The 26295-nt window shown below is 36.0% G+C and overlaps 1 protein-coding gene across 5 annotated transcripts in view; it reads right to left on the bottom strand.

Moving 5' to 3' along the window:
* The window catches only part of TMTC2 (transmembrane O-mannosyltransferase targeting cadherins 2), a 447961-nt gene that overhangs the window by 79693 nt on the left and 341973 nt on the right, over positions 1-26295 (bottom strand). For 4 of the 5 annotated variants that reach the window (XM_017018884.3, NM_152588.3, NM_001320321.2 and 1 more), the window contains 2 exons: positions 24295-24376; positions 4156-4270 (listed from right to left, as the gene is read on the bottom strand). In XM_017018884.3, the coding sequence (XP_016874373.1) occupies positions 4156-4270; positions 24295-24376 (197 nt within the window). Of the gene's footprint in view, positions 1-4155; positions 4271-24294; positions 24377-26295 lie in introns of those variants that run through there. The other variant, XM_047428396.1, reaches the window with a different exon arrangement.

Raw genomic sequence — 26295 nt, 5'->3', positions numbered from 1 at the left:
GTAAGCATAATGGGAAGCAGCTAGGCCCAGGAGAATCATCTTCTAATAAATGTGATGCACACTCTGCTGGGTTCCTTGTGGGTGATGGTGGCACAGCTCCTGAACTGTAAAAGCTGCTGAGCCCAAGGGAATTCTGGGTGGTTGGGAATTATTCCTAGCTGTGTAGAGTAGAGCTCCCAACCCCACTGGTAGAGTCTGTAGGTTATAGAACACTCTTTAGAAAATCTTGTTGCTGCACAAAATAGCAAGAATGATTCTTTAGTACACAACTAAAAGCTGGTCTTTACATGAAAACAGCTTAGAAACAAACCATTTTCATTGATTTTGCCTTCATTATGATGAATGAAGATCATCCTATTTTGGAAATTTTCTCTATCTCTGGATAATTCTTTATCTACTCTATGCTCTTTTTCAGAAAATTCTGTTCTTATTAACATTTACATATACACAAATAAAATTATATATAGCATATATGCTATATAAAACTACATGCACAAATATACAGTATGTAATTATATATGCATATTTATACATAAATAAAACTATCATATGTATACTATATATATAAATGACATATAATTATATACACATATATAATTATGAGCATATATAGTATGTGGAACTATACAAACATATATATAATTACAAGTGTAATTACTTATAATTATGCATGTGAGTTCCCAATCTATCCTCCAATCTTTTATTCAGTCACCATTTTCATGTTTTTAGTATTTTGCATCAATTTCTGGGGAAATATTTATAGCTTCTAGTTAAATTATTAGCTCATTAATTGTACACTACCTCCATTGCTGTTATACATTCAGAGACCCTATTAATCTCTTAGTAATCTTTTCCCGACATTATAATGTTCCTATTTCTACTTACCTATTTCTTTGCACAGACATATTTTGTATCAGCTAAGTTAGGTTATACTTTGGGAATAAATACCTTCTAAGTCTCACTGAATTAAGACAACAAAGTTTACTTCTCACTCATTGAACCTATCCAGCGCAGGTGAGGAGGGAGGTTTGTCTCTCTTTCGTCACTTAGGGATCTACATTTCCACAATTTCTAAGTCAGAGAAAGGGAAAAGCACTGAGTCTTAGAGCTTTGGCTCAAAAATGCCATACATCACATTCACATACATTCATTGACAAATAAGAGGCATGCAGGACTTCAGCTTCAAGGAAGGCAGGAAAGTGCAATCCTACTGTGGTTCTCTAAAACAAAGGGCCAAGCAAACTTTCTGAATGACATTAATACTACTTCCACCTCAGAGTGTTCTGGTGAAGCACTTTGATGACAGGAATTTAGAGACCCTCTAAGAGGCTCTTATGTTTTTAATGTAAACCTGCTTCACTGAGGCCCTTTATTTTGATACCTCTGACTTGTCATTCTTATCTGAACTGCCAAATTGAATAATATATTTCAAAACTTTATATTAGCTTATTCTACAGAGAAAGATCTTTGTCCATTTCTGGTGGCTGGAATGGGTCTATTGGAAATTTCTCAAATTTCAAACCTCTTGAAGGTCCCAGTAAGATAAAGATTTGCCCCTTGATGGCTGGCCTCAGGATCTCACTTCTTCCAATCTAATCTCATTCAGATGGAATGACAATTTTTTTCTTTTTGCTACATTTGTAATGAGCAGCTCCCGCTCCCCCTCCCCCCATTTATAGATTCTTTTGGTCATTACATTGGAAATTTGCCAAGAAAAGGTAAGTTAAATCAGTATGTTCAAACCTTTTCTTGAACTATAACTTTCCCTAAATTGCTGATTTGGGATAGTGGGTAAACCACTTATCTAGCGAACCAAGTGAGACACAACCAGGAGACACCCAGTCTCTCTCACACCCAAATGGTCACTAAACCCTGTCAATTTTGTCTCCTAAATATCTCTCAAAAGGACATAGTTCCTGAGAAAAGAATATCAAACTTAATTTAGAACTATGTGGCATCACCCCCAGGAGAAAATTTACATGTAACATTAAATAAGCAAAATTTTGATAACTGACCATTTTGACAAAAGCATATTCAAGGGGAAACCAGTAACCTTTCTTACTCCTTTAGGCAAACAAAGCCCTGAATGTTCTCAACTGATAAGAAAACAGACTGGTATTCAGCTTGACAGCAAGCACTACAGAAATGCTTGAATTTGACAGAGGTGAAAAACAGAAAAGCTAAGTAAAAACATTCACGAAGACTGCCATCCAGTTGAGTAGGAGAAAGTCAGGCTGCTGTGGTCACTCTTGCAGTCAATATAGGAGGGCACCGACTGACTGCAACTTAATGATGGATGCAGACCAGAGAAAGCCGGAGAGGAGGTTCTGAAAATAAATCCTAAAGATTTCCTCACTGCCAGTATATAACAAAAACTTTCCACTGGTTTCTAGCACTAAGGCAACTAAGAAAAAATCATAAGTGATGTCTTTAACAAGGACTTTATTTTGTAATACACTTATAATGGGTTTCTATTGGTAGACCTTGAATTTCAGACATGGATTTAATATGTAGCAAAATGCCTTGTTGATAAAAGTATCTGTTATTATCAAGATGAATTTGCCTGTCTGTATTTGTGCTTTCCCATTCTTGCAAATTGTTTATTGTGGCTGAAAGCATAGTGTTTTATTCATGAGGAACAAAAAGTCCTTATCTCTGTAACAGTACCTAACCTTGTCACACAAATTGAGGTGTCTTTTAAAAATTATCTTTGCATTGAAGGCTCTTGCAGATTGGTTTCAGTTTATTTTATAAATATACCAATAGTCAATTGAATCCTGATTTCCCTTTGTAGGTGTCAGCTTTCTTGAGTTCATCACAAAACAAGTACTTTAGGGATGCTAACATGAATGTTGAATTATGACATTCAACTAAAATGTCTCTGTATTATTTTTTATAACTACAGGTGAATCTACAATCATCTTAAAAGCTAAAAAAAATAGTCCTTCTACTTTTTTCAAATGTCCTCATTTTAAAAATTGGATGTCACCATCCAATTGTGAACCAACTTCTCTGTTATTATTCTTTCCTTGTAAGAGTAATCTATGTAATTATAAATCTATCCCTGGAAGCCACGCACAGAGATGACAGTATAGAAGTCATTTAATGAAGCATTTAAGTAGGGATTTAATGAAGTGATATTCAAGTAAGAATATGGGAGGAGTTACATGTACATATATATATAACTAACATGACAAATAATGCTTTTTAAACAACGATATAAATCATTTGATTAAAACCAGTTAAAAACATCCTCCTTTAATCTAAAGAACCATTTATGGATGTACTGACTTTCTTTATATTCACACACAAAAAAACCTGATAATCTGGCCTTATATTTTAGTTTTTTTGCTCTCATTGTAATTAGCCTTTGTAATAGTCTTCTGAAAACAGAAGAATTAAAAGTTAAAAAAAATGTATTGTTTCATGACAAAGCAATAGTGTTGATTACAGGGCTATTTTGAGAATTTCATGGGCCTTAAGTATACTTGTATTTGATAATCCTCTCCACTATTAAACATTAAAATGTATCCACATGCCACAGTCAATATAATTAACATAAAAACACAAATATTGAGATGCAGTTTACTGACATAATGTTTTGCTTTGGAGACATTTAATTAGACATGTATTATATTCCATTTTGCAGTTTCCTTTTTGTATTTTATGACTAGTAGTTTTTAGAGGGAAGGGAAAGGAGGTCGCAGTAATTTTCAGAAAGTCCTAAAAACTCATATGCCCTACACATGGTGCACATAGACCAGGGGAGTCCAATCTTTTGGCTTCCCTGGGCCACATTGGAAGAAGAATTGTCTTGGGGCCACACATAAAATACAGTAACACTAATAATAGCTGATGAGCTTAAAAAAAAAAGAAAGAAAAAGCAAAGCACCTCATAATAATGTTTAAAGAAAGTTTATGAATTTGCATTGGAATGCATTCAAAGCTGTCCTGGATCACATGTGGCCCGTGGGCCACCGGCTGGATAAGCTTGAATAGCCTATAATGAATACAATATTTCTAATTTTTTACATAGTTAAGCAGCGTGATTGACTCACATTGAGAATGTGGAATAAGGTGTATGATGGGAAAATTCGTATAATTAATTACCCTCTCAAAGCCTAGGCTTTGAGGCACAGCAGCAAAAAAACTAACCTGAGCATGTGGGCAGCATTGAAGACAACATCAAACTCTGTGCTGTCTAGTTCAGCTGCTTTTTTTGCCATCTCAGCTGCTTCTATGAGACGAGCTTCTTCCAGAAGAAACTGACCTGAAAAGTATAAAAACCAGTGAGCTTCAACTCAGAAAATCCCATGAAACAATAAAGCTGTTATTAAAGAAAAATAAGTACAGTGGTAAAGGTGATTTGAAGCTAAGATTTAATAACATACTCATTATTTAGAGATTATTTATATGCTTTTTGCTTAACTATGGAACATTTCAAGGTTTCTATTTGCTAACTTAAACATTTTTTTTTCTTAAAAAGAAATCGTCTATAGACTATTCAGCAAGATATATGATGAATAAATTTAAAGCTATATTACAAATATGAGTTGAGCTGATTTCCATTGTTATTACATTAATTAGCTCCTGTCTCTGACGCATATGTACAAACAGGTATATTCATATTGATGAATATGCATTTCTCATATTTAATATTAAATTACTGATAAACATAGGAAGGTAGATTAAGCATTAATTTACTCAATTAGATTTAATAATAATTATGGAATAAATATTAACAAGTTCAGATTTGTGAGATTACTTTCAGGTTAGCTTTACAAGGTTAGAATTACTGCAGACAGAGTCACAGAACTCTTTCAACTGTACCTCAAAAATTATTATATAATGCTATCCCAGAAACATATTGTGAGGGTAAAGAAAACAAAAGTTAGGCCCAATTTTAATGCCATAAATATACAGACAGAGACAATAGGCCACTTTTTTAATTGAGATTGAACAGTAACGGTAGTAATGCTAAGCCTTATCTGATACGGATATTCAAATAAAAACCAAATTAAAGGATGACAAACATACGCTGAAGCCATCCATATAGTTTCCAGGTTTTTCAAGTTGTGGTATAATTATTATCTCTTCCTGTTTGAGGTTTCATGTTTGTTTAAAGTTCAAGAATTTAAAAGTACTAAAAATAGTTATAAAAATGATTAAGTTCTGAGTTGCACACAAAAACATAAAACTTTGAAAATGTCAAGAAGACATATACACAGCCAACAAGCATGTGAAAAAATGCTCAATATCCCTAATCATTAGAGAAATGCAAATCAAAACCACAATGAGATACCATCTCACACCAGTCAGAATGGCTATTATTAAAAAGTCAAAAAATAACAGATGCTGGCAAGGTTGCAGAGAAAAGGGAAGGCTTATACACTACTGGTGGGAATGCAAACTAGTTCAGCTTCTGTGGAAAGCAGTATGCTGATTTCTCAAAGAACTTAAAGCAGAATTACCATTTTACACAGCAATCCCATTATTGTGTACATACGCGAAATAATAGAAATCGTTCTATCATAGACACATGCATGTATATGTTTATTGTTAACAGTAGTCACAATAGCAAAGACGTGGAATTAACCTAAATGCTCATCAATGGTAGAATGGATAAAGAAAATGTGGTATACACACACCATGGAATACTATGCAGCCACAAAAAAGAATGAGATCATGTCCTCTGCAGTAACCTGGGTGGAACTGGAGGCCATAATCTGAAGCAAACTAACACAGGAACAGAAAACCAAACACCACCATGTTCTCACTTATAAGTGGGAGCTAAACATTGAGTACATGTGGACACAAAAAGGGAACAATGGACACGAGGAGCTACTTGAGGGTGGAAGTTGGGAGGGGGCAGATCAAAAAACTGCCCCTTGGGTACTATACTTATTACTAGAGTGATAAAATAATCTGTCCACCAAGCCCTTGTGACACACAATTTACCTACATAGCAAACCTGCACGTGTATCCCACACGTGTATCATGCATGTGTAACCTGTACGTGAACCTAAAATAAAAGGGAAAGATAAAAACAAAAAAAATAAAAATGCTAAATGCTCTCTGGTGGCCAAAGAGCCCATTATTTACTGTTTATTTAATGAATATTACAAATTGTCTTCCAACGCAAAAGACCATTTCTTCAATAAAAAAGAAATACCTCTATTTTAAGGATTTAAAATAAACCATAGCTGGCTGGACGCAGTGGCTCACGCCTGTAATCCCAGCACTTTGGGAGGCCAAGGCAGGTGGATCACCAGAGGTCTGGAGTTCGAGACCAGCCTGGCCAACATGGTGAAAGCCAGTCTCTATTAAAAATACAAAAATTAGCCAGGCACAGTGGTGGGTGCCTGCAGTCCCAGCTACTAGGGTGTCCGAGGCAGGAGAATTGCTTGAACCCGGGAGGCGGAGGTTGCAGTGAGCTGAGATTGCGCCACTGCACTTCAGCCTGGGCGACAGAGTGAGACCTTGTCATTCATTCATAAATAAATAAATAAATGCCACTGCTTGCATTTAAGTATTTCTAAACTTCAGTTAGTAAACAATGCTGAGTAAAGGTAAGCCTACGATTATAAAGACTTTCTGTTTTTTTCAAAAGCAAGTGACAAAATTTTAAGACTAAGACTTGGAGATCACTCATCTATTTCTACAAAAAGTTTCATATCACTTTCTTAGTTTGTCGCCTAACATTCTGTGGCTTTCTTATCTCCCAGAACAAATAAACACTAATTCTTGGGTTAGAAAATTAAGAAAACAGAATTATAAATAAGTTACATTTATAAATAAAAAACACATTACTTATGAAATACTTGTATATGCTAACTCTACAGATACAGATATGAAATGAAATTTAAATATATGGTGCTTTTTTATATAACAGTAAAATAAGAATCAGATAATCTGTGGCATAATGAAATATTCTTATCTCCTCATATATAGCTTCATAAAGATTGCCAGGCTAACCCCATCCTTCAGTCAGTTATAGTTATTATAAACTGCTTTTTAAATTAAAACACAATATTAATTACTACTTGTATTCAAAACATAATATTTAAGCAAACGCATTAATACATTATGTGGTATTCAAACAAAGGATAATGTAGGAAATTATTAATTGTTCTTTTCCTTTACAGGCAGCTATTAACTCTGAAATGTAATCTATATTAATAGTTAGAAAAATGTAACAATTAAGTAATGATACCCATAACAAGGGGTCCCTTTACAAGCAATGTCCAGGGCAAAGCCTTCGAAGCTTTAGCAATGCCAAATGCATCTTTGCTGTTCAACAACAAAAAAGGAAATATTGTTAATTTTGTAAAATCAAATTAACTATTTTTATCATCATTTAGTAATATTTCTTTATGTTTTAAATTAGCTTTGCCATGCAACATGTGCTTTGTAAACAATTTCCAAAAACTACATGGAACATATAATTTTTAGTAGGGTAAATGGTGACAGAAAAAAATTCCGATATGATCATTTTATAACTGCAAAATTCATTCACCATATTAATATTCAGAAAAACAATATCACAACACATCAGTTAGATATCTGGATATTTTCCTCTATTCTCTTCTCAACAGGCCACAAATCTCAATAGTCCCACATTAGTGTTCTGCTATGTGATAAAGGCACAGAATATTATGGAATGTGAATCATCTGGCTGGTATTTTTTAAACTGAATTTGAATATTTCAAACAAAAGTGAAAGTAAATTATTATTCTGCTACATTACATTGAAATATAGCCGAGAACTGATGGAAAATAGAGCAATAAACATTTCGAATACATAGAACTTGTGTTTGTACAGGGAAACAAAGAATAGTAGGTTTCTTCCTAAGAACTACTCAAAGAACCTAAAGTGATATGTTATTGGGGCAACAATAAGAAACAAAATTTTCCCTTGCCCCTCTGGAATACTTTACCTCACATCACCCCTCTCCCATCAGCTTTATCTATTACCACTTCCACCAGACACTAGCCCCTTCAAACTATTAATTGGGCTTCCCATAGTGGAACCTACTGCTTCCCATCTTTGTCTGGAACTTGCAGCCACTAAGATCTCTCAGCCTCTAAGTTTGTCCCATCCCAATCTCCAGTTCTGTCTGGCCTACCTATTGTAAAAAGATAGCTTTCATTTTTATGCCCAAAACATTTCCTTCTTAGTGACGCCTTCTTAGACCAGTTTCCAACAATGTTAGGATTGCTTATGATTTAGGTTCACTGAAATATAATTTACCAACTAAATTAGAGCACCTAGAAGAGTAAAAGGAGTATTAATTATGCTGAAGCAATGGTGGAAATCAGAATTGTCCCAATATGGTCACCCCACTTTTAGTACATGTGGCAGAATGTGGATCTCGGTCCTCTCATCTTCATCACTACTGGGAACTGAACTATTTGTACAATAAGGCATTGAATCGCTGCTAGCAGAAGTAATAAATATGGCAAGAAAGACAGGTGCTCTTCCCTGAAGAATTACCGTTAAGCCCATCAAGACAGAGACAAGCCCCAAGTTTCAGTGAGTAGGAACAGCTAATGAGGCTCAGGTAGTGCAGGTATACTACAAGGTAGAGCCAGGACTAAAGGAAAGAGAAACTCGATTACGGCAGGCACTTTGGAGAGTCTGTCTAGACTGATGGATTCTACAGGGCCTGCAAAGTTACCTTTTTCATTAGTCTCTAGCTTTAGAGCACAACAGAATGACCTGGAGGACTTGAACTAAAATAGAGAGCAAGGCACCAACCGCAGAATTTCAGATTCAGTGGGTTTGGGATAGTGCCTGAGATTTGCATTTTTAACAAGTTCCCTGGTGATGCTGATGCTGCCAGTTCAGTGTCCATACTTTGAGAATCAGTGTCTTATGGGAAAAACAAAATAAATGTTTTTCACCATACTCTGGACACTGATGACATCTGGGATTAGCTAGCAGGCTGAGCTCTTCTGGTAATCATTTGCATCTGGCATTGTGGCGAATCCGTATGGGTCTACAGCAACCTCAGTTCTTGCCTCCTGAGAAGAATGAATTCGACAGAGGGGGATAAGGCAGAAGGAGATACCGAGGCATGTTTTAGAGCAGAAGTGACAGTTTAGTAAAAAGCTTTAGAACAGTAATAAAAGGCAGGAAAGTACACTTGGGAGAGGGCTAAGTGGGTGACTTGAAAGGCAAGTGTGAGGCTTGACCTTTTGACTTGGGGTTTTATAGGCTGGCATACTTCTGGGGTGATATGTTACTTCTCCCCACTCGCACAACTCCTGAGATCTTATCAGGAAGGTGCTGAGCATCACTTTCAGGTGTTTTCTGTCTATTAGGAACCAGCTTTCCCTTGTGCCACCTGTGAACAATTATTACTTTAGAGAAACAGTTAAAAACTGCCTGATCATCTCCTGATGGTCGCCAGACACTCCTGGTGTGTGTGTGTGTGTGTGTGTGTGCGTGTGTGTGTGTGTGTGTGAAGGAGCCCTTTCCTGCCCTATAAGCGACCAGCTATCTATAACAGCATTGTCTTCCCTAATTATGGGGCATAATGACTAGTTTACACATATGTGTATAGATAGATACATGTATATAAATAAGACATTCATTGAATATCAGTTTACTTTCTAAAAGTCATTAAAATAAGGAAAGGTAAAAGTTTTATCCTTCACAGGGAACAACAGATTTCTGAGAAACCACTTCTTTTTCATATACAGCAAACACATTCTATGATTTGATAACTGAGTCGAATTACAAATTAAAAAAGCACAAACAGCGTAAGTAAAATTTATTTTGTTCTCATGTGTGTACTGTTGCTACTACACTTCATTTCTTTGGTTGTAATTTGTCTTACCCAAGCTTATTATCATCTTAATTATCACAAATTACAGGGAGAAAAAAATGAAAAAAATGAGATGAGAAATTATTTTTTAAAGTAATTTGAGTAGGGAAAACCAGATGATATAAAATAAGGAAGCATTCTCTAGAGATCCAGAGACAAAGAGCATAAAATCTCCTCATGGGCTAAAGTGGGAAAAGGGAAAGAGCAATTGTTTTGTATTGAACTGTTTCAACATCAGAGTAATACCATTTCTTCTCTGGACAATTCTCTCACTGAACCATTTAAAGTACTCAGTAGATTTTTACCAACATTTCAATATGACAAGCTTGTGAAGACCAATCTTTCGTTAATTCCTGGATTTAAAAAGCTGTCTGCAATGCAGAAATCCATAAAAATGTAAGCTGGCCTTAAGCCATAGGCTCAAATCCTGCTTTGTAAAAATTCTACATATAAACTCCCTAGATTAATTGTGACTGGCATTTTTTACTAAAATATTATAAAAATTCACTCAGGATCAATGCAACTAAAGAGCTAAAACAATCTGCAATAGGTGTCATGATACAATTCTCTTTAGAAAAGAATCATTCATATGTAGCTTTAAAACTGTTCAAAATCAAATAAAAATCTTTTTTATAAAACAACTAGAAAACAGCATTTGCATTAAAGTGGTTGTCCTTGGAAGATGACATTTGATCACAGAAATGTGTCCAGAATCATCTGAACTCTAGTGATACCTTTCTGTCTCAAGCCACCACATCACCCTGGATGACAGCAATAACCTCCTAAATAGTGCCCATACTTCTATCCAGAGGGTGTTCTCAAAACGGCAGTCTGAGTGATCTTGGTAAAATGGAAATCGGATTGTTATTCTACAGCTGATTCAAGAACCCTTACACTGGCCTACACAGCTTGCTATGATCAGCACAGGTTCTTCCCCACCCTCTCTTACTGTTCCTGTAATACATCAGAGGAACAATGGCTCCTGGTTCAGAGTCTTTTCACTCACTATTTCCTCTACCTGCAATGTTCTTTCCCCAGATATCCCAGTGGTCTTCTCTCTTACTTATTGGCACACTTTGGAGATTTAATAAATGTATGTTCAATGAAAGGACTGAACCAACTAATATTAATAATATCTCTATGTGGCTCTCATCTTCAAGAGCAAGCTAGAACCTATCCAGCATTTATCACCAGAAATTTTCCTATTCATATTTCCATATCTTGCAGTGATCTTAGGCAGAGGTGCAGTAAACGGCCACACATGCTTCCCAAAGGTACCATTCACAGTGAAGTTTCTATGAATGGCGGTTTCTGGATTTGAGCAACATGGTGGCTCTGATATTAGGACTCTGAATTTCCCTTGGAAAACACAAAAAATCCAGATATCAATCATACCTTCAAATATATTTTAATTTCGGAACAATTCAAACTATGCAATTTGTCTACTAATACCTATTATATGCTATTGTATTGTGAAATAAATTCAACAGACTGTGAACAGAAGAGGAAATAATCTGAAAACAGAAGATAGTTTCTTTCATAGGTTAATATACCCCCCAAATTAATATTGTGTCTACTATACACAAAATATAGTAGTACTTGCAGTGGGCATACAAAGATAAACACAATATTTATCCTTGAAGAAGTTCCATTTTATTAGAGGAGAGAGGAGATTACAGAGATAGTTTCACACCAAAACTCATCTAAACTTGAAAAGGAGGTGTGAGGTATCACAGGCTGAATGCATCATTTCTATTTCTGAATGGAGGTAATTTTGGTTTGGTTTTGTTCCACCAGCAGCTGGATCATGAAACAGAACATTGCCAGCATCCCGGAAGCAACTATCTGTACCTGCGGACTTTTTCAAAGATTCTGATGATTAGAAATGGGGAAAAGCCAAGATGGAAGTAATTGGGCTAACTGGTTTTAGTCACATCTAGTGGTAACAAGATGAGTGCATAAAAGGGAATTGAAGCAAGTCACTTATGGGGTGTTTCTACTAGAAGAGGGTAGTAACACACTCCTGGTAAGAGAGGGTTGATGATAACACAGCAGTCAGGTTTTAGACTAGCTGTAGGTAGGGGATACTACTAAAGAGTGGTAGCTTGTTAACACTAATTCTCTGAGATAATTAAAAATACAGAGGGGGTTCTTCTCTTTCTGCCTCTCTGAAAGGAGCCTTGCTGAGTGTCTTTTTCTGAGTCACCATGGCATTTCAAATATGCTTTCGCTCTTTCAGACTAATCTCTCTAGCCTTCCCTTTATTCGTTTTGTTGCTTTGTGTTTTTATGTCCTTGGCAGCCTAAGTTAGTAAATGCTGGTTTTCGTGAGACAGGCCTAATGTGATAAATGTGCCACAGTTACCGGCCAAGAAAACAGGTGGCTGGTGAACAAGGAAAAGATACCCAAGAGATCAATCTGGACTGCTTATTGTGAGACTGGGAGGCCCTGGATTTGTTCCTAAGTGAACACGAGACCAAGTATTTGTCCTGATTTGGACAGGTGGCAAGGAAGGTGTCTAGTGTGAAGAAGATTAGAGAAACAGAAGGCCAGGGCCCTGTGCTCAACTGGAAAGGAGGTCAGGAAGGTTTGAAGTACTTTACTGAATTTATTTCTCCCCTGACTCTTTGCAAAAGGGTTATGAAATGCCAGAAAACCACTGAGGGAGTTATGATGACTGTCTGACAGGGTGTGGGAATTTCTGCCGGCTAAGAAGAAGCGGGGAGACTGGGGAGGAGGCGAGAAGCTATAAGGGAGAGAGAAGGAATCGGGGGAGGGACAAGGAATGGAAGGTAACACAATTTCATCATAGGTTTAAGTAACACACAGATTCAACAGGGATCAAGAATGCTTCAAAAGAGAAAGTAAGTTCATGATGGGCTTCAAACTATCTTCAGGGTTTTATCACTTAAAGAGGAAGAGAAGGATGCAACTAGACGAGGAATACAACCTCATTAGAGATCCAGAGGTGAGCAGCCTCATTTATAGAATGGGGTGCATTCTTACACTAGGGAGTTGTAAGGAAAGAGATGAGGTAGACAAGAGGACTCAAACACATTTTCTGAGTAACTAAAGAAAGGAGCCCGCTCCTCTGAGACTGAGTTAGAGCAGTAATGAGAATGGAGAGAGGCAGCTCAAAGAGCCCAAACATCCTTTTCCTAGGAGAGCTCCAGGTCTTCTCAGTGTGCTCCCACACCATCTCAATGGGCTTTTCTGAGATATTCATTTCAAGATGTGTCAAGCAAAGCACAGAATAGTTAATAGCAGGGCACACAAGCTTTGAGAGCAATTGTTTTAATTAAGGCAGAAGAATAAATTGCAAACAAGAACCTCAAAGTGGATTTGCTTGCCAAGTCAAAATAGGTAAGACTGGAGAAACTGTTTCTCTCCCTGCCCCACCAATGTGTTTGTGTGTGTGTATTCAATTTATCTTCACACAACACAAACTTCATAGACACTACAGAGTTCTCCAAGATGAGCCATGTTGAGATTTGTAGCTACAGAGAAAAGCCCCTGTGATTTACCCAGTTAAGTGAGCGTGTACTTACGGAAATAATGGAATAATGGAAACAATCCATTAATTTTCCCTTAAAGAACTGTTTAGACTGTTGAGCACAATGTCTACTCTCTTATTTGTAAGGTTACCTATAATCTTCCATCCTCCTGCAATTATCCCCTTTCTCTGATCTTTTTGTTTACATGTAAAGAGGTTTACAGTCCTCTTTTTCTTAATCCTAGGTTTTTACTGTGTCTCTTCTTCCCTTAATTTGTCCCTTTATTTATATACCTTATTCAAAATTTTTTTCATATTTTTAATCATTCTCCAGGATATTGTTTTTATTATAATTTTAAAATAATAAATGCCCATTGTCACAATTCACTGAGCATTTATTATGTGCTAGTTACTTTATAAAACCGTAAATAAATCCTTACAACTTTAGGCCATAGTAATCCTCTCTAGATTATGACACTGAGGAGCAGAGAGTGCAGCACAAGTCACCTCATGCTCAAGGAGATAATCTGCAGTAGGGCTGGGTGTGCCTTGTTCCAAATCCATGTCACTGTTTAAAATCTATGGCATTGTCTACTCCCTACATCTACATCTTAATTCAATTCTTATCATCTTGCTTTTGTGGCTTCTAGAGTCCTATACAAAGACAGATTGAAAAGAATGTATGCTAATTTTACATAACTATACGTCGCCTTAGCAAAGCATGACCTAGTTATAAACACTTTTTTTTAAAGTGGATTCTATTTCCATACACAAAAAAAGGGGGCACAGATGAGAAAAGGGAAGTTGAAAACTAACCAAAGGCCAGTCTTCCCTTCTTTATTCATTTTTGTATTGAAAAATGTTGATTGACCTGGTGCGGTGGCTCATGCCTGTAATCCCAGCACTTTGGGAGGCTGAGGCAGGCAGATCACGAGGTCAAGAGATCGAGACCATCCTGGCTAACACGGTGATCCCCTGTCTCTACTAAATTACAAAAAAATTAGCCGGGCGTGGTGGCGGGCACCTGTAGTCCCAGCTACTCAGGAGACTGAGGCAGGAGAATGGCATGAACCCGGGAGGCAGAGCTTGCGTGAGCAGAGATAGTGCCACTGCGCTTCAGCCTGGGCGACTGAGCGAGACTCCGTCTCAAAAGAAAAAAAAAAAAAAAAAAAGAAAAGGACAGAAAAAAAGTTGATTGACCAGCCTTCCTAGGTGAAGCACTGTGGTCAGGGCTGGAACCCTGCAGCAAGGCCACTCTGGTTATTGTCTTGATTCTTTGGTTTTGAGTTACAGTTTCTTCACTTTTCACATCTGTACAATCTCACTGAGTTATTAGAAGGAACAAGTGAGATAGTGTAAATAACACCATGTAGGGTGAGGTCTGGTGCCTTGCCTCCCCCTTTTCTTTTTACTAACTTCTCCATGAGCTCCTTTCCGGTTCTCAAGCTGCCCTTCCTCCCTGGGGCCTTCAAGAACACAATGATCAGAGCTCCCTGGATTTCTTCACCAGCAGTCCTCCATAATATCAGCAATCTGGCTCTGGGTCTGTGTCACCACTGGAGACCCACAAGGCTCACATTTAGTAAGAGCATATCTTTGAAAGAACAAGGATATTGTGAGCTGGGGTGTCAGAAGAGGCTCAAATTCTTGCTCTGCCAACTTACTAGTCATAGGGACTTCAATGTGCCACTTAAACTATTGGAACCTTAAATCTTATATCCGTAAAATAGGGGTAATGTTATTTCTGCACAGGACTCAGGAACTGACAAAAATATGCAGAAAAGTGCCCAGTGCTTGGTCAGGAATGTAATTGTTAAACACTGAGCTTCAGTCATAACAGCACTAGCATTAATGAGCACATATGTGCCCAGCATGATGCCAAGCTCTTTATTTTCTGCAAATTTTCATAACTCTGGAGTAAGGACACACCATATTACTTGAATTGATTTAATCATCCTAATATTGTGAAGCATTTTGCAATCCTATAGTATACTTTACAACACAGTTTCATTTCTTTCTCGTTTTTTGGAAGAGCTATAATAAAACTTTGTGGGTGAGAAATGACATCACCATAGAATGTCATCATACCATCTTAGCATGGTCTTATAATTCTATACGTTGACATAAGAGATGATAACATTGCAGTATAGCACAAATGGCCCTGTAAAGAATTTATCTACTATTAACTGGCATTGAAACCTTGGGTAATAAACTCCAAAGTCACTGCTTGATGACGTCACTCTCCTCATCTGTAAAATAAACATAATCATGTACCCTCCCCATCTCACTGTGGGAATTAAATGAGATGCTATATGTGAATTTCTCAGGCCACAAAAGTACTCAGTAAATGTACTATTATATTATGAATTCATCAAATATATAATATATATTTGTCAAATATATAATATATTCATCAAATATCATATTTGAATATTTCATAATGGAAATATTATATGTAATAGACTCCATGCAAGTGATCTTTCTCTACTTTATTCCTTTCTTAAGTTTTATGTCTTGAAAGTTTACATGTTGAGTTCTATTCAATAATTATGGATAATTGGTTGGTTACCATAATTATCCTGCTATCTACTTGAACAATAGATTAAGATGCTTGTTCTTGGCCAGGCGTGGTGGCTTACGCCTGTAATCCTAGCACTTTGGGAGGCCAAGGCAGGTGGATCACCTGAGGTCAGGAGTTCGAGAACAGCCTGGCCAAACATGGGAAAACCTTGTCTCTACTAAAAATACAAAAATTAGCCGGGCATGGTGGCGGGTGCCTATAATACCGGCTATTCGGGAAGCTAAGGCTGGAGAATCGCTTGAACCCGGGGGGCAGAGGTTGCAGAGAGCTGAGATCGCGCCACTGCACTCCAGCCTATGCAACAAGAGTGAGACTCCATCTCAAAAAAAAAAAAAAAAAAAAACCAAGGTGCTTGTTCTTTCATATTTTATTAAAGTATTTGTCCTTCATAAAAGTAACGTGCTCATTATAGAAAATTTAAAATAGAAAACATTAAGCCTTCCGAACAAAGGAAAACAAAAGGGTGCATGTCTAAAAAGCTAATACATCCATTCTAAACATTCTGATATTTTAAAAAGTTTGTTTTGCTTTCTAATGACATAGTTATTTTGTAGAATTTATTCATACTCCATGTATAATTTTTATTTTTTTCACCTAACATAATAACATAGGCAGTTGTCTCATTATTATGTATCTTTCATAACCTTAATTTTGGATTTATAAGATTTCATCAAATGGAAATAATCCCATTTGATTGAGCTATCTCCCTTTTTCAGATATTTAGATCAGATATTTCAGATATATGCTTTCCCATTTTACCTGTAACAAATAGCAAAGTCAAGGCTCAATTACTATCTTTGCTGATAATCTTAAACATTAAAAAAACTTTATTTCCTTAAGATAAATTATCAAGAGAGAATTATTGAGAATATGTGTTAGAGCAGCTTGAGGGAATTCGTTATAATTTATATTTTAATTCCCTTGATTTCCAATGAGATTGTATGTTTACCTAACTTTTTTTTTGAGTATATATATATATTTTTATTATACTTTAAGTTTTAGGGTACATGTGCACAACGTGCAGGTTAGTTACATACGTATACATGTGCCATGTTGGTGTGCTGCACCCATTAACTCGTCATTTAACATTAGGTATATCTCCTAATGCTATCCCTCCCCCCTCCCCCCACCCCACAGCAGGTCCCGGTGTGTGATGTTCCCCTTCCTGTGTCCATGTGTTCTCATTGTTCAATTCCTACCTATGAGTGAGAACATGTGGTGTTTGGTTTTTTGTCCTTGCGATAGTTTGCTGAGAATGATGGTTACCTAACTTTTAAAACCGGTTGTATCATTTGTTCCTATCTCTTGTTCTTTATATTCTATTTTCCTTGTAGTTGTATAGTTTCTCATCTCTCAAGTAGATTGATCTTTTATTTTTTGCCTTTAAAGAAATTATTCTTTAACGGTTTATTGTCTTTTTATCATATTACTTTTCAGAAACATATTAGTGCTTTAATTTTTCCTTAATTCTTTGCTTTTAAGCTAAAACCATTTCCTGTTCCCATTTTAGTTATGGGAAAGTTTCAATTATAAAAGCCTTTGGAAAGTATCTTATGTAAAATACACGAAGGTATGAAGATTAAATTGTATTAATTTATTAGATACATTTTAATAATGGGGATTTAGAAATAAAAAAATCACAAGTGAGAAATGAAATAGTTTGGAACAACCTTTAGGAAAACCTTAATTTAATTACATATCTGTGTATTGCTGATGCTCTTCTTAGAGCATTAAAGGGACACTAAACATTGATTTTTTTAAAAAACATGGTTTGGTCTTAAGTATTAAACGTAATTGTAATCTCAATGTAATTTTGCAAAGACTCAAAATCTATTTTCATTTTTAATTAAGGCAATATTATTTGGTTCATTATGTAATTAAAAAATTCCTCTGGCTGTTTTTAAAGTGACTAAAAATGAAAGGATAAAACATAGCCTCAGTCCATTACCATCTTCTAAGTAGCTTTAGTTATGAATAATAAAAAATAATACAGGCCACTCACCAATTCAACTCATTACATATTTCAAGCCTCTACTTTCAGTGCTCAGTGTTGAAAGACCAAACCTATTATTTTAACACTGTCCTCCAGAGCCTACTTTTAAAAGTGAAACAAATAATATATGAACTATCTGCTACGGTTTGGATATGGTTTGCCTGTTCCTACCAAAGCTCATGTTGAAATTTGATCCTCAATATGGTGATGATGGTAGGTGGGGCCTATAGGAAGGTGTCTGGGTCATGAGGGTGGACCCCTCCTGAATGGCTTGGTGCCCTTATAGTGGTAGTGAGTTCTCTGGTGAGACTGGATTAGTTCTTATGACTATGGATTAGTTCCCATGAGAGTGAGTTCTTATAAAGCCTGGATGCCCCTTGGGTTCTCTCTCTTCTTATGTCTCTTGTTCCCCTTTGACCTTCTTCCACCAAGTTATGAGGTAGAAAAAAGCCCTCACCAGAAGCAAAGGCAATGCCCTTGAATTTTCCAGCCTGCAGACATAAATAAACCTCTTTTCTTTATAAATTACCCAGTCTCAGGTATTCTGTTATAGCAACACAAAATGGACTAGGACACCATCCTAGAGAAAAACAGAGTATAATAATAACAGTAGAAAGTTCCGGATTTAAAAGTTGAAAGAGCTGGGCTTTTCAAGTTCTTCCTCCACTAAACACATTGAACATTTCTGAAATAGGAAGTCACTTAAAAATTCTGAACTTCCATTTTCTCAGTCAAATGTAATTAGGATCTATTCCTACCTCACAGGGGTTGGATGATGAAGCAAAAAAAAAAAAAAAAAGACTCGGGGACAAGAAAACATAAGATAGATGGCAAAGTGCTTAATAAATGTACAGTAGTAGCATTCTAAAACTGATAATAGAGCCAAATAATAATAATACAGATAATTATAATTTTAAAAAATCTATACTTTTCTATGAGCTCACAAGCAAGAAAGATGGATTTTTTAAACTAATTAAACTACTATTTTTACAATTTGTGTCTCCTTCCCAGTTTGTAAGATTTGCTAGAGCTGGTCTTATTCTCTACTGTGTCCCTATATCTAGCATAGTGCTGGATAAATACTGAGCAGGAGGCTAAAAGTAAGAGGCTTAGGACTCATCACTACACAGCTGAACCCTTGGAAATGAATTATGTCACCATTATCAATAACAAATATAATGGGGCCATAGCTTTTTAGAAACTCACTGTTAATAGGAAGACAGGAAAAGAAGAAACTGTTCGAGTTGTATATAAGAGTATTTTTCTTCAGTAGCATTACAATCTCCTCCCTTCTAACTTTTCACACATCAGTCCTCAATATTTCATGAATTCCCCATGTGCCAAAATTTATATACAGTAGGTACCTCATAACAAATGTTCATTGATTTAAATTGTTTCAATTGACACCAAATTTACTACTATGCACCTACACTAAAGGTTTATAATGTATTCTATCTGAAACAATGGTTTTTCTAGTCATTTTTAAAGAGACTTCTCGTCTTGACCTTCATTCTTTTGGAGAGTACAGGGGAATTCACAGAGAATCCCTTGAATTACAGGCCCACATGAGACACCAAGGCACCAAATCCTCACCTTTGAGATTTATAAACTGAATTCAATAAAGACTTTATATAATTTGCTTCACATGGACATGGAATACTTGACAACATACAAATACACAATGTTGTATTATTACTTATACCATAGCTTGAAACCTATTTTCTACGCATTCCTTAAAATTTTGATAAAAGAGCTGTGAGAAATTGGGTATATGTTACAAACAACAAGAAATCGGAGTACTAGAAAACATTTTTGGAGTCCATGTCAATCTTTCACTTTTCAGATAAGAAATCTGAATCCCAGAGACTATAGGTACCACACAGCACAACCTTTAACCAACTGACTGAACTAACTGTATAAACCTGCCTAGCTTGCTTTCTTTCTTGCAAGCCAATCTGAAAAAAATTTTAAAAAGGCAATATGCAATGCAATCTCTTCCCCCGAACAAAACTAGTGGATACAAAAACACAAGTAACTGATAGCATTTTAAAATATTGCCTTCTAATCACCATTGCTGCAAATATAAATTAATATAATTCCTTCTGTCTAATCCCAACTGGATGGTATTTTCCAAGTCACTTGGAAGTTCACTAACAAGCAAATCAGAACCACAAAATCACACAAGAGAGTGGATTTCCCATACAAAACTCACTCACTCTGGCACTTTCATTGGCATTTGCAAAAGCATTTTAAAAAGACTCAAAACACATATATTTCATTTAAACATTTATTTTTAAGTTGAGGAAGTGTTATTATTCATTCAATCTGTTGGCATAACAATCTAAGAATATCTATAACCAGCAAGTTGGCAAGGAACTGATACGAGAATCATAGTACGTATTTTCTTAAACAAGAAATAAAAATTCAAATAGAACATCTTTTCAGGCAATTTTGTAATCCAGATCCAATTCTAGAATGGAGGATATTCCTAACTGAGCTCAATATACATTGCACATTACTGTGTAAACAGCAATATAGTAGATATATTGATGATACAAAAATGGAAAACACACCATCCCTACTCTTATGTTAGAATCTTCTAAAGGAAGTAAACAAACAATTTCAGTATAAATATTTACATTCCCACAACTACTTCCAAGTCCAAACCACCATCATCTCTTGATGAAAACATTGCAACAACTATCTACAGAGTTTCCCTTGTTCTATTCTGACCTTTCTCTAGTCCTGTCTTCTCCACATGGTCCCTTCCGGTACACTCAGAATACAATGCAAAACTCCTTATCTCAGTCTCCAAGTCCCTATGGGCTCTACTTCTGGTTCCTCTGTGGCCTCCCTTCCTCCCATTTTCCTACCTAGTTCGATGGGATCCAGTCACATTAGGTTTTTTTTTCTCTGCTGTGAACACAAGCTTAATATTGTCTTGGACCTTTGAACTTTCTCTTTCTTCTGTATGAACGTAGCCCTTTAATAGTTGGATTAACATAGAGATTTCAAATATCATATTCTCAAAGATGCTTTATCTGACTACCTTGTTTCAAGGAGTATCCAACTTCCTACCTCATCACCTTCTAAAGATGACATCCTGTTTATTTCCTATACAGTATTACTTTCTGAACACAGAACAGTGTGGTTGCACCTAGTAGATACACTGTATAAATATTAAAATTATCAAAAAACATTCTCTATGAACTTTAAGCTAAGTCATGACATGAATTTGAGTTCTAAAACTGTGCACAGCAGGGCCTACTGATTGAAAATATCTACCTATGTCTCTATTTGCCAATATTTTGGGGAAAAAAAAAGCAAACCCCCAAAAATAAAACCACAAAAACCCCAAACCAGGATATATATACATATATATATATATACACACACATATATATATATACACATACACATATATATATACACATACATATATATACACACACACACACACACACACATATATGTGTATATATATATATATTTATATGGTTTTTTTGTTTATTTATTTATTTTTTTTGAGACAAGAGTCTTGCTCTCTCACCCAGGCTGGAGTGCAGTGGTGCGATCTTGGCTCACTGCAACTTCTGCCTCCCGGGTTCAAGTGATTCTCCTGCCTCAGCCTCCTGAGTAGCTGGGATTACAGGCATGCACCACCACGCCTAGCTAATTTTTGTATTTTTAGTAGAGACGGGGTTTCTCCATGTTGGTCAGGCTGGTCTCAAACTCCTGACCTAGTGATCTGCCCGCCTCGGCCTCCCAAAGTGCTGGGATTGCAGGCGTGAGCCGCCGTGCCCGAACTCAGAATATATTTTATGGAAGAAAAAGCATGACAGTAATCAAGGAATCCAGAACTTACCTGTAATTAACTTGAGCAAGTCAACTTCATTTCTCTAGGCTTCAATCTTATTTGTTCAACAGACAGGTTATATTACATAATTTTAACAGAACTTTACAGTTCCAGTTCTAAAATTCAATCCTTTGAAATAGATCCCTCTAAAAGAAAATCATTAAGATTCTCTTAAATTTTCATGTTTTATAATCTGAGCACAGTGAGCAAAGAATCTCACGCACTCAATTATGGCCTTCTCATCTGTTTGTAGATTATTTTGCCCTAACTACTACTCCTTTTTGGAACCTCATTTTGAGTTCTTTCTATTACCAACTCCAAAGTAGGAGAAAATATTGAAACTTATAAAATTTCATAAAATACCTAACATTATGTTTCATAAAATTATATTTAATTATACAGTCATTCCTCCTTTAGAAAATAAAATACTTCTTATAATGTATGTATGCCAAAATACTTAAAACAATCCAAGGGTTCTAAGAAGAATTGGTTTTTACACATGCATTTAAAGACATTTGTTATCACTGCTTTCCAAATACCACACAAAATAAAAAGTTTGTAGGCTGGGCGCAGTGGCTCACGCCTCTAACCCCAGCAATTTGGGAGGCCAAAGCAGGTGGATCACCTGAGGTCAGGAGTTTGAGACCAGCCTGGCCAACATGGTGAAACCCTATCTCTACTAAAAATAAAAAAAAATAAAAAATAAAAAATTAGCTGGGCATGGTGGTGGGTGCCTGTAATCCCAGCTATTTGTGAGGCTGAGGCAGGACAATCGCTTGAACCTAGGAGGTGGAGGTTGCAGTGAGCCGAGATCGTGCCATTGCACACCAGCCTGGGCAGCAAGAGTGAAATTCCATCTAAAAAAATTAAAAAAAAAATTTTTTTTGTAGAACTTTCTGTTTAAATCCAAAAATTTTTCATGGGAGAAATACCCGCTACTATCACCACTGGAAAAAAATATTTTAGGAGTATGATGTAATGTAAAACTCACAATACTTTTTTTTATAAGTAGAAGATGGATATAACCAGATTAATAAGGGGGCCAACTTTTAAAATTAATAAAATAGTGAAATTGCAGTTCAAAAGGAGCAATGATACTGTTTAAAGAAATGGATTGTGACAAACCTATATATATATATATATATATATATATATATATATATAAAATATTCTCTATAATATTATAGGAAACAAGTTTAGAAGATGCAGTAAGTAGAATCAGTATGAGGCAAATGAAATGCAGACAGCAGATAGTGGGAAAAAAAAACCTCCTATTTTATAACATGCAATGACAGGCAGCCTTTTAGCACTCAGGGAAAATCACCATGGAACGACATTCATGGACAGTTGAGGTACCCAAAAATACTAGGCATGAGAAAATCCTGAAGTACTTCATATAGGAAAACCTATAAAAATAAAAATAAATTCTGCAGCAAACTTAAATTAGTTGACTACTATTTTAACATGGCATTACAGCTGCATTGTGAAACAAAATCAGGAGTTGTACCATCCCGCATTAATGCTGGGAAGATAATGCACTGCAACCCTAGGTTTGTAAACATAGACACACAATAACATAAAGTAAAAAATGGATTTGTGGTTATTTGAGTATCTCCATTATTTTATTATTTCCATTCTTCTACACTTGCAGCCTGTCACTGATTTATTTTTATTAGCTGGAAACTGGGAGAAGGAATTAAATATTCTACTAGTATATTGGTTTTATTTCCTTATATTTAATTTCTGTCCACTTTTAAGTTTACTACTTGATAGTCATTAATACATCAAAGCCAACAGTGATCAAAAAACCACATTTTCCCCCCAAGGGATCAGCCAAAGTAAATGCTTTTTGGCTCCCTAAAAGAAATTCCAACTGCAAATCTGGTAGAAATAAGCACATCTTACACAATATCAAACCAGCTATATACTTTGCCTCACTAAACACATGATCACTACTAATGACAGAGCAGAGTGTGACAGAGTTGTTATGTAGCCTCATTCTAGACTGATTAAGGCCAAGGCTAAACGAAATGAGACAGCCATCCTTTGCACCCTTTACAGCTTATCCTTGGCCTCAATATTTGGCATTTACAGGCTAGTGTACATCCATATCTTCCAGAAAGCAAGACTTTTGAGGCCAAAATGTAAACTTCTAAAACTTCAAAATGACATGCTCAATGAGCAATACGTTATCACTTAGAATGAAAAGAAGCAAATGTTGTATTATAAAGTATGCATAAGGCAAGGAGCTAGATGCTTTCCTGATGAGATCTCATTTAAACTCCACACTGAACTTGAAAAAAAACAACTGTGTAATGCCATCCCTGTTAAAATCCTATTAAAATTACTAAAGGAAAATATAATGCACAGCCCGTCTAATAGGACTGTTTTGAATGAGAAGGTAGGAATATAGCATGAGGCTAAATCTGCAATAACAAAGTCCATCTCCTCTTAAAATGTTCTTTGCCAGCAAAGCCTAGATCTCATATCAACATTAATAGTAAATGTGGGGGACATGGAAAAAAAACTATCAACCACTCACCATAATGCATGTAACAGTTTCCTTTGGTGGGATCCAGCTCAATAGCCTTCAAGAAGAGCTTTTCAGCCTCACTCTTACGACCCTTGAAAAACAGAGAAAATGGATGATTCAGGAACAGATCATGAGGGATTCTTCACTGCCTGGGCCTAACTGAAGTAGCCAAATGTCTACTTGGTAATCATCATAGGAAAGGAAAAAAAAAATTTTTGTTTTTATCTATGTGAGGATGATCAAGGAAAAAGTGTTGAGAGAGAACACTGAGGTCTGAACCCTGGAAGGCATGAAGAATATATAACAGAAGATGAGAATGGCCCACCAAAAAGATCAGGCCAGGAAAGCAAGAGACAAGGTTGAAAAACAAAAAAGGTCTCACAGAAACCAGAAAGACAAGACAGTTTTAAAGAAACATTATTGTCATTTTCTATTTTATTTTCTCCCTTTCATTTGCTTCCTCTTCATTCCTTCTTTTTCCTTGTAAAGAACTGTGGCCATTTTAAATTTTGAGATGACAGGCATCTCAAAATACCTAACATTATATTTCATCAAATTATATTGAATTACACAGTCATTCCTCCTTTAGAAAATAATAATACTTCTTATAATGTATGTATGCCAAAAATACTTAAAACAATCCAAGGGTACTAAGAAGAGTGTGACAGAATTGTTATGTAACCTCATTCTAGACTGATTAAGGCCAAGGCTAAACGAAATGAGACAGCCATCCTTTGCACCCTTTACAGCTTATCCTTGGCCTCAACATTTGGCATTTACAGGCCAAATATTTACAGGCCTGTAATGAAAAATATTACAGGCCAAATATTTACAGGCCATTTATGAAAAAAAGAAGTCACAATTTGGTGAATCTCAAGCAGCTATTTATCCTTGCTGCAATCACTCAGGACTAAAATTCTGCTAATCCAGGATTTAATCTAAAGCTAGGTCACTTTCTTTGTTGTAGTTTTAAGTAAATATTACCATCATACGCACAAGGAAAATAAGCAAAAAACAGGGGTGAACGTTTACATACAACAAATTGATTTTTCATTAAAGAATACCACAGTCGAAACAGATTCTAAAAGTATACATTCTTCACCTAGTTATTGCCTCTGAACCACAGTTACCTCCATTGTAACACAGAAGGATGGCACAAGATAGGAGAACAACCCTAATAAGCACTTGCCTGGAGCAGTTCTATCTTGTTTGGCATGGCTGGGATGAAGATATATGGTGACTATGAAGGGTAGTAAGGCACTGGGTGGTGTCCAAAGCCACAGACCATGGTAAAGACAAATGACCTTACCTGCCTGCTCCTAATTTATATACTCTCTACCCACATAAACTTCAGGCAATGTTTTTTTCTTACTTTGAGTATATTTTTAAAACTATTGTTATGAAGACCAATTTTCTAAAGTTAGAGGTATATAATTAACCTAATTTGCTACACTAGGGGTGTCTAATCTTTTGGCTTCCCTGGGCCACATTGGAAGAAGAATTGTCTTGGGCCAGACATAAAATACACTAACACTAATGATAGCTGATCAGTTTTTTTTTAAAAAGGTTCATGCATAACTGTCATAATGTTTTAAGAAAGCTTATGAATTTGTGTTGGGTTGCATTCAAAGCTGTCCTGGGCCACATGCTGTCTGCAGGCTGTGGGTTGGACAACTTGTGCTACATGGTACGCAGCTTTGACTCTTTTCTCCATACTCCCTCTCCTTTTGTTCATTCCGTCATTAAAAACAAAACAAAACAAAACAAAACAAAAAACTCATTGTTGCTACATCCTTCATTAACTCATTATTCTAGTAGCTAGGACATAACCTAATGTCTCTACTACCTATAGCTAGTGATAAGCAAATGATCAGACAACAGACTTCCTCATTTCTTCTATCAATTTAGTAATGCTACTCTATTCAGTAACTCCTCGTTAAATCACAAGTCTTGTCAAATAGCAGTAATTAAAAATTTTAAATTCCCTGCAATGTTTCCCACATTTTAACT

Source organism: Homo sapiens, chromosome 12 (assembly GCF_000001405.40).
Source record: "Homo sapiens chromosome 12, GRCh38.p14 Primary Assembly".
In the NCBI taxonomy this organism is placed as follows: Eukaryota; Metazoa; Chordata; class Mammalia; order Primates; family Hominidae; genus Homo; species Homo sapiens.
This window is presented reverse-complemented; position numbering and strand designations above follow the sequence as displayed.